At 48.3% G+C, this 8726-nt stretch overlaps 3 annotated features.

Moving 5' to 3' along the window:
- Positions 66 to 115: a silencer, noted in NCBI's record as "silent region_9565". NCBI's record gives its function as "represses an Ori minimal core promoter by ATAC-STARR-seq in GM12878 lymphoblastoid cells {active_cell/tissue: GM12878}" and the evidence as "EXISTENCE:reporter gene assay evidence [ECO:0000049][PMID:35858748]".
- Positions 176 to 235: a silencer, noted in NCBI's record as "silent region_9566". NCBI's record gives its function as "represses an Ori minimal core promoter by ATAC-STARR-seq in GM12878 lymphoblastoid cells {active_cell/tissue: GM12878}" and the evidence as "EXISTENCE:reporter gene assay evidence [ECO:0000049][PMID:35858748]".
- Positions 7440 to 8401: an enhancer, noted in NCBI's record as "H3K4me1 hESC enhancer chr18:75370231-75371192 (GRCh37/hg19 assembly coordinates)". NCBI's record gives its function as "activates a minimal SCP1, AML or CMV promoter by ChIP-STARR-seq in naive and primed H9 embryonic stem cells {active_cell/tissue: H9 hESC(naive and primed)}" and the evidence as "EXISTENCE:reporter gene assay evidence [ECO:0000049][PMID:30033119]".

Below are 8726 nucleotides of genomic sequence, written 5' to 3' on the forward strand. Positions count from 1 at the left end.
AAATTAACCGCCGTACTTTCCTTCCCAATGTTTGTGTGGAGAGCACACGGTTCCTGCGTCAGGACCCTGCAGGACGCGGGCCGAGGCTCCCAGCTGCCGGCCATGCCCTCGGCTCCTCTCCCGACACGCGCCAGCACTGCCCCCTGCTGGCCTCCCGGGAGCACTGCCCGCTGCCGCGGCGGGAGGAGACCCGGGAAGAAGCCGGGACCGCGAGCAGCTGGACGCTTTCTCCCTGGGGCTCAGCCACACATTTTAGTCACAGTTACAGACTACGGGGGATTTGAAGCCTTCGCTTTAGTTTTTATTAAGAAACATTGAAAATTCCATGGCTTGCATTTGATTTTTTGTTTGTTCTTCTTATTATTATTAAAAAATATATACAGAAATTGGTTGCAAGGAGCAACCGTAGTGAGGAGCATGGTGACGAGCATGGGTTTGGCGCCAGGTGCACCTGGTTTAATTCATTGTTGCATCATTGAAAGCTAAGACGAGTTTCAAACCCCCTCCCAGCCTTGTTGCTCTCATTTGTGAAATAGAGATAATAATAATGCTTGTCTTACAGGGGTTTGTGGGGATTAAATGTGATCAGAAACCTAAACAGCCTAGACATCATCCATAATCAATAAATATTAGCTACGACTTATTATTCATGCCTTTAGTTGTTAGTGTAAGTCATCATCCCGCCAAGCCAGGTGACCTAGGTGGGGAAGGAGGGAGAAACCCCTTGGTGTGCCCGGCACGCTGCCCACCCGAGGAGACCCCCAGGCCTGCCTGCCTCACTTACCCGGCTCCTGCTGCTCCCTGACCAGGCAGAGGCAGACGCAGACGCAGACGCCGGGAGGCCGACGGACAGGCTTATCCTGAGCCTGCTGAGACCAGGTGTTGCCCCCTTGGGTGAGGACACGCAGGAAGGGTGAACACATGAGGCTATTCTTCAGAGAGAACCCTTGATGTAGTCTGGAAAAATCCACAAGTGGGTCTACACCAGCAAAAAAAGAAAAAAAAAAAAAAAAAAAAAAGTTAATGCTGCAGAGGCTTCAAGTTCTGTTTATAGACACCATGAAATAGACCTGGTTCTTACTGGAATTTCTCCACCCACAAGAAGGTCACAAGAATGTGTCAACTGAAGCACTTCATACATAAAAGAGATACACAAATAAGTAGTATACTCAGAGATCTGACATGTTACATATATATATTTAATTAATAAACCTACTTGCTCATCATCATCCTGTCTGTAACCTCTGGGTGTTGAATGGATATTAGAACTTCTGTAATCTACAGTCTAGGTATAACTCATAAATTTTATCCTCTGAAAAGGTAATAGGAACATACATGGAGAATGCCAAGTCCAAACAGATTTACTCCTAAAATATCACAGCACAAGGATAACATTATAGCACAAGGATAAAATCATAGCACAAGGATAAGCTAGGTAACACAAGTTAAGAGAGGCCTCAAGAATGTCTTTAAGTAGTTGCCGTAAGCTTGTGAGGCTGTGCTGGGAGTGCCTCAGCTTTTCGTGGACTGGTCCTGGTGCAGCTGTGGTATGCAGAGGGGACCACTGACCAGCCAGTTGAACTCTCTGAGATCCCACATCAGTCAATTGGAGGTAGTAATGTTTACTTACATCTGGTAGACCACTAGGAGAACCTTATGCAACCATTGCACTGACGTGTGTAAGGATTATTTTATCCCTTGGAAATGCTGATGACATACTTTAAGTGAAACAAAAGTAAAGATTTATAAATATGATATGATTACAGCAATGTAAAGTAAAATAAAGAAGGAAAATGAAGCAGTAGTGAATTCAGCCATGGGATTATCAATAATAATCTTTTCCTCTATATTTTATAAAGTGTATTTGCAATGTTTCTGATGTAAAACATATTAATTTATTATAAATGTAACATTACCGTTTGTTTAAAATGAGCATCTTTGATTACAGAAAGAATAATCCTTTATCTCTAAACAATAGGCTTATTTTAGAAATAATACAGAACTTTATCGAATATCTTTAGATTATCTACTCTTACGGATATTATTTTTGATCAACAGATATATTCTATTAGGCTATTAAATCAGTCTTACATTCCCAAAATTAAGATGTTTTATGTTATTATTTTAATATCCTATGAGGCTCATTCAATATTTTATTTATAATTGTTACATGTCTACTCGTAATTAATGTTGGTCTTGTCAGATCTTAGATATCAAGACTTCAATAGTTTTATAAATAGGATTGATTTTTGGATTTTCATCATTATGTGTTTTGAAATAATTATTATAATTTTATTTAAAAATGTAACATTTTGTAACTTTTTTTGTAACAAGTAAAATTTATTCCTTGATAGAACTCAGGTAAACCAACTTTAGGTATAGTAACCTAAAACTTTAGTGGAAATAAACTGTGATTACTTCTTCACCCCCACCCCCAACAAGATATACACATATTGGCTTTATATTTCTTTTTGATGCAATTTACAGTTTCATAGAAAATAGTTTATTTATGAATATTTAAGATAAAGAGACTCAAATCCTGTATGTTTTAACATCCTGCCATTTTTCATGATCTAACATAGCAATGAGGAGATTAGTTTGTAATAATGCATTAGCTAAGAATACATTATACCTATAACATATATTCAGATTTCTGGAATAATTTTCAACGAGCTTGGGTATCGTGTCAGTCAGGATGCCTGATCGATAGGAACGGGAAGGCCATCACATCAGTCATATAACAACTTCACTCACACACACGTCTTGTTGTTGTTGTTTTAACTGAACAACAAGCCGTGGGTTCCAGGGACAGTGATGTGGCTTTTGTCTCTGTTCCCTGTGTCTCCCGGTCCCACATCCCCATGTGTGCTGGCTACACCCGAAGACTTGTAGCCGGTTAGATGCAGCCTTTCTAAGGGCCACAACCAGATGAGAAAATACCCAGACGCAAAGAAGAGTCTCAGTTTTTTTCTTGGACGTGAGAAACACTTCCCCAAAGCTCCTGATCAGATTCCTGCTCCCACCTCACTGGCCCCACGCCCGCTTTGACACGCTTGGCTGGGGTGTGGGGCTACCATGATTTGACCCTGGCATCTGAAAGGGATCATGTGTCGGGGTCACCCCAGGACCCATGACCTTCCGAGGCTGGGTGACGTGCCCAGGTTCACAGGGAGCCCTGAGAGGTTATTCTCGGTGCCCGAAGCTGAGGTGCACAAACCCCACTGCTACCCAGGCAGGGACAGGTGCCCTGCACAGCGAGGCGTGGATGGAGAAGCATCACCCTCCTAAACATGGGCCCTGTCAAAATCTCTGGGTCTTACATGGTGGGCTGCCTGTCACAAGGCCACGGTGTGGGAGGCACTGCAGAGAAGGGTCAGCTGAATCCCGATATATCAATTAAAAAGCCCTAAGTAAACTGCCCTATCCCAATGCTGCACTGGGAATGTGTGCTTCCATCACTGGCCCCCAAACTGGATTGTATTCTGAGTAAACCTCCCTAGAGTCCCTTCTTTCTCCTCCAACCCTAAGATGAATAAGCACTAAATTCTCCCAGCAGGTGGCAAGAGGCAAAGGCAAGAAGAGGGGCTTCCTGTCCGGTTGTGCCACTGGCACTGACAGATGATGCTACCTCCTGGCTCCGGATGCCCTGGTGCCTTCTGGAGTGGCCCCACTGCTTCGTGAGTTTGGCTGAATCTGTGGGTTGATGAAGAGGCTTCTCTGGCTTTCCTTTTTTTCCACAGTGAGCCGCTCTCCCTCTCATCACACAGGGGAAACTGTGGATACTCCCTGGTTGCCACCAGTTCGGCCCCATTTCCTGACCATCTTACAGTGGCTGGCAGAATAATGCTTCTCCTTCTCCCACCAGAGATGCTCACAACGTCATCCCCAGAAACAATGAATATGATGATGTCAGCTTGCAAAGGGGGTAGAATTAATTATGCTAATAGGCTGGTGTTAATTTAGGGGGATTATCCACATGGACCCAATATACCCATGGGACCCTTTAAACATGGAAAGAGAGGCTGAGGGCTGCAGCCAAAGAGAGATTGAAGATGCCAATCGGTTGCATTGACTGCGCTTCTGGCTGAGGAGTCCAGGTGGCCTCCAGGAGCTGGAGAAGGGGAGGGGCTGGGGGCTCTCCTGAGCCCCCAGAAGGAGCAGCCTGCTGACATCTGAGTACCAGCCCATGAGTTCCATTTCAGACTTCTGGCCTCCATCACGGGAGATCATGCATTTGTGTTGTTTCAGGCCAGCAGGGGTTTGCAGCAGGTGTTCCAGCAGCAGAAGGCAGCAAATGCACCTGCGTTCAGTCAGCGAAGGATGTGGGCTGAAGGCTCTTCCAATGGGCCACTTGGAAGACCAGGGTCTACCATTGAGTTTAGCAGACAAAACGCCAACATTTTGGCCTCATGACCTCTTCCACTTTGTGCTAGAACCATTAAACCCAGAGTCATAAAAATCCTCCGCCTCCACATCCAGTTAAAGCCACTTCCACCTCCACAGCCAGTTAAATCCACCATGGCTTCCCAGCTTGCAGATGCTACTGTCTCACTGTGCCCTCCCTTGGTGGAGAGACAGAGAGAGGGCATGCCCTGGAGTCTCCTATCAGAAAGACACTAACCTCACCCTTCCTTCATGACCTCATCTCACTCTCATCACCTCCCAAAGGATTCATCTCCAAACACCATCATACTGAAGGTTAGGCTTCCATATGCAAATCCTGGGGAGATAATTCAGTCCACAGCATGGCGCATGCCTGGGAAGCCCCTGCAACCCTGGCTCAGTCAGTGGATGAGGCCTCTGTGTCCCTTGTTGACTCTAGTTGATGATGACGCCCTGAGTGCTGCTGTGGGCACTGGCCCTGTGACATTGAGACTGGAGCTAGAGTAGACACATAAAATAGTTTGTGGTGAATGGGCACAAGGGAAGGGGCTCTCTGTGCAACATCCTCAGGGCTTTTCCATGATGAACAATTCCACAACCAGGAGTTCTGTTTGATGAGCAATTTATACCATCCTCAGCATCAGGTGGTTTCCTTCTAGAGAGCTCATGGTTTTTTTTTTGGTGGGGGAACAGGGTTTTGCTTTGTTGTCCAGGCTGGAGGACAGTGGCATGAACATGGCTCACGGCAGACTCAAAGTCCTGGGTTCAAAGGATTCTCCCACCTCAGCCCCTTGACTAACTGGGACAAAAGCACGTGCCACCATGCCTGGCTAAGCTTTTTGTGTATTTTTTGTGGAGACGGGGCCTTACTATGTTGCCCAGGCTGGTCTCAAACTCCTGGGCTCAAGCAATTCTCCCGCCTTGGCCTCCCAAAGTGTTGGGATTAAAGGCATGAGCCACCATGCCTGGCTGCTTATGCTTTTTTCTGTTGTGGCCCAGATATTATATCATCTCTCGTCTATAAATCTTCAAAACTTGAATTTGTGTGTAAAACCTAGTTCTGGGGAGGGTCAGAAAAGACACTCTTACCGGGAACATCCTGATCAGTCAACTGGGGCCTTGAATACCAGGTAACCTTTGACCTCTGCAGGTGCAAGGGCTCTGGGGGTGTGGGTTCCCATTGCTGTTGAGGGCCATTCTGCTTTGGGGGTGCCCTGGTCATATGATGTGGAGACACCATGTAGGACACTTTTCACGGAGGTTCGGAGGAACTGGTTCTTACCAGGGCATTCCTGCAGAATTGCCTCCCCTTGAGGGCCGTCTTAAGCTTCCTAACACCTAACGTGTTGTCTCAGGAGACACATGTGTTGGGATTACACATTCCCCAGCACCTTCTCATCACCTCTGAGAGATGGCAAGGCCTGCCGAGATAGCTCTGAGCACCTTTTAAAATGAATCCATCCTACAGATCATAGGATGACAACATTTCCTCATCTCCATCAGCCATACATGAAGGAAGTACACACTCCCAAATGCAGCACGAGTGACCACTGAACCCCTAAATGCAGCCCAAGCCATCCTGAATTTGGGGTGCTGGTCTGTTTGTGTGCACTTCTTCAGGACACAGTTGTCTACATGGATCTATGTTCCCATTCTTGCAGTGCTGGGGATGGAGCCCCCAGTAGGGGCTGTGGGACTCAGAGATTGTGCTCTTAGTCCCAGGCTCCTGGCACGTTCCTACACATGGATCATTTCAGAAAATGTGCTTTTCTATTAACAGATCTTCTCTAAAGAGTCAGGGCCAGGTGGCTCTATTCACACCACTTGTGTTGTGCACAGCGCATGGTTCATTTATGAAGAGAGAAAGTAATTCTCTTGGTGAGGAGTTTCCTTGTTTTCAATATCCCACAGTATTTCCATAAGCCATACTGAGGAGTGCCTGAAATAGAAAATTTTGATATTTAATTTGGAGCATCCAAGAAGAATTCATTCAGACTAGGAGCCAGAGAAGGTGGTATTATGATCTATTTTATTTTTTCTCCTTAAAATTCCTCTATATTAACATGAATAGATGTGTCTTAATTTTGCAGTAACTATAGATTTTTGAAATTCCTCCACATTAAACATGAATAGAATGTGTCTTAATTTTGCAGTAACTATAGGTTTTTGCTCCTTTATTTGTACATTTCTTCTTTCCCTCTTGCACCTTGAAAGTAGGTCATGGTACCGGTTTCTGGAGGGAAAAGGATCTGGCATTTTATAAGGACAGGATCATGTTAGGTAAGGAATGCAGTCCTAATGACACGAAAGAGGGTAAGCGAAGCCCAGGCTACCCCTCTGGCCAGGAACGCGGGAAAGAGGTTTAAAGGAGGAAGGGATGACTCAGGTGCCCGGGCCTCAGCGCCACTCAGGGAGGCTCTGGGAAGAGCCCAGGTGGAGAAGCCCGGAGCGGCCAGCGCAGATCAGTGCCCCCAGGAAACCACTCAGGAGGCTGCAGACCGCCCTCAGCCACCGTTTCTGGTTTGTGCCGTGGTCGCCTGGAGGCAGAAGCCAGACTGGAGCACAGGAGACAGAGTCCGCGGGCCGCTGGCCTCACCGAGCGCTCTGGGGCCGGCGGAGGGAGGATCCCCCACATGTCTGAAGCCTGGGATCGGGCAGCAGGGCCAGGGACTGAAGGGCTGGCTTCAGACCACACACTGCACACCTGAGCTGGAGGGGCCTCAGCTCAGTAGATTCCACGGGGGCTTGTGGTGGGCTCTGGTGCCCTGCCACTCTGCAGCATCAACGATTAAGGGCCCAGGTGCACAGGGAAGACGCAACACCCGGCGATTCCCTCCTCATCTCCCCATAGCTGCGAAGAAACACAAAGTCACCTCATCTCCCTGACAGGACACACGGAGGAGGCGGCGCTGGGGGAAGGATGGAGACTCAGCACACCCCGAGCTCTGTTTAGGGGAAGATGCCAGAACGCAACTGATGACAGGTTAATCTCCGCCCCCAACACGTTCCGCTCAGATGGCAGAGACTTGAAGCATCAACAGTTCTCTGCCCGTGTTGAAAGCATCTTTCCCTGTCCGTGGGAGGCCTGTAGGCCTGGGTGAGTACCTGCAGGGGAAGGGCTGGATCCGTCACTGCTGTCACTCCTGGGAACACCGTGGTGTCCACAGAAGATGGCATGAGGTTGACTCACTTCAACGCTGGAGCTAGGGGAGCCTAATCCTCCTGGAGCTTTCCGTGGAACGGTGCCAATTGTTTATCAAGAAGTGACGTCACTACCCCTCCAGTTTGAGATCCCTGGAACTGCCTTGCAGGCAGGGGTCAGCACACAGGACATTAATTAGGGAAGTTCCTGCAGTCCACCCCGGGGGAAGGGAGGGAAGGGAAGCATATAGGGCTGGGGAAAGGGACAGGTTGAACTATGATGCAATCTCAAAGGAGGCTCAGCCAAGCCAATGGGGAGCCCCGGGGTGCCCCAAGTTCCAGAAAGGGTCCAATCTGTGTAGCCCCATGCTGGCGGGGGCTGCCCCAGGAAGGCCCAGTGTGAGGAGGGAAGCAGCACCGAAGGAGTTGGGGGACTTCCTGAAGGGGCATCTGGGCAGTGCCTCACGGTCACCACCTCACCAACAGAGAGCAACTGATAGCAGTTTCTGAAGACCAAAGACCCAAGTGCTGTGAGCTCATGCAGAGGGACCTCCCTCCTCCAGATGGCTCAAGTGCTGTGAGCTCATGCAGAGGGACCTCCCTCCTCCAGATGGCTCAAGTGCTGTGAGCTCATGCAGAGGGACCTCCCTCCTGCAGATGGCTGCTGTCCTGCATTGCCTAGTTTCTTCAGTGCCCCTTGATTTCTAAGTCATGGGGTGGAGATGTCTTCCTTACAATCATCTTTCTGTGCAAGTCCTGGGGACAAGCATTACAGCAGATTAAGAGGGATTCAACACATGTGCTATACAAAGGCAGCGGCCAGGTCCCAGCAGCCTAATGTCCTGAAAATTCCCACAGTGCTGCAGCCAGGGGTGTTGACTGTTACCATCTTGCATGGTAATTTGGGCTTCCTGGGAAACACTCTCAGAGGGAGACTTGCATGCCGGAGGTTTACTGAGGATGCTGCTGAGAGAGCACCTTTCAGGGACTGGGGGAAGCAGTTTTGAGCAGAAGAAGGAATTGAGTTGTGAGGTGACCGAGGCCCCTGAGGAGCTCTGAGGCTGGAATGGCCCTTCAGGATGCCCAGCATGAAGCAAAGGCACTACCCATGGATGCTGGGAGGCCTCGTGGGATGCGTTGTGTGGACAGGATGACCCCTCAGCCAAGGGCAACTCTAAGAGACTTAGCTGGCAACTTTGACA

This window comes from Homo sapiens, chromosome 18, assembly GCF_000001405.40.
Source record: "Homo sapiens chromosome 18, GRCh38.p14 Primary Assembly".
NCBI lineage: Eukaryota > Metazoa > Chordata > Mammalia > Primates > Hominidae > Homo > Homo sapiens.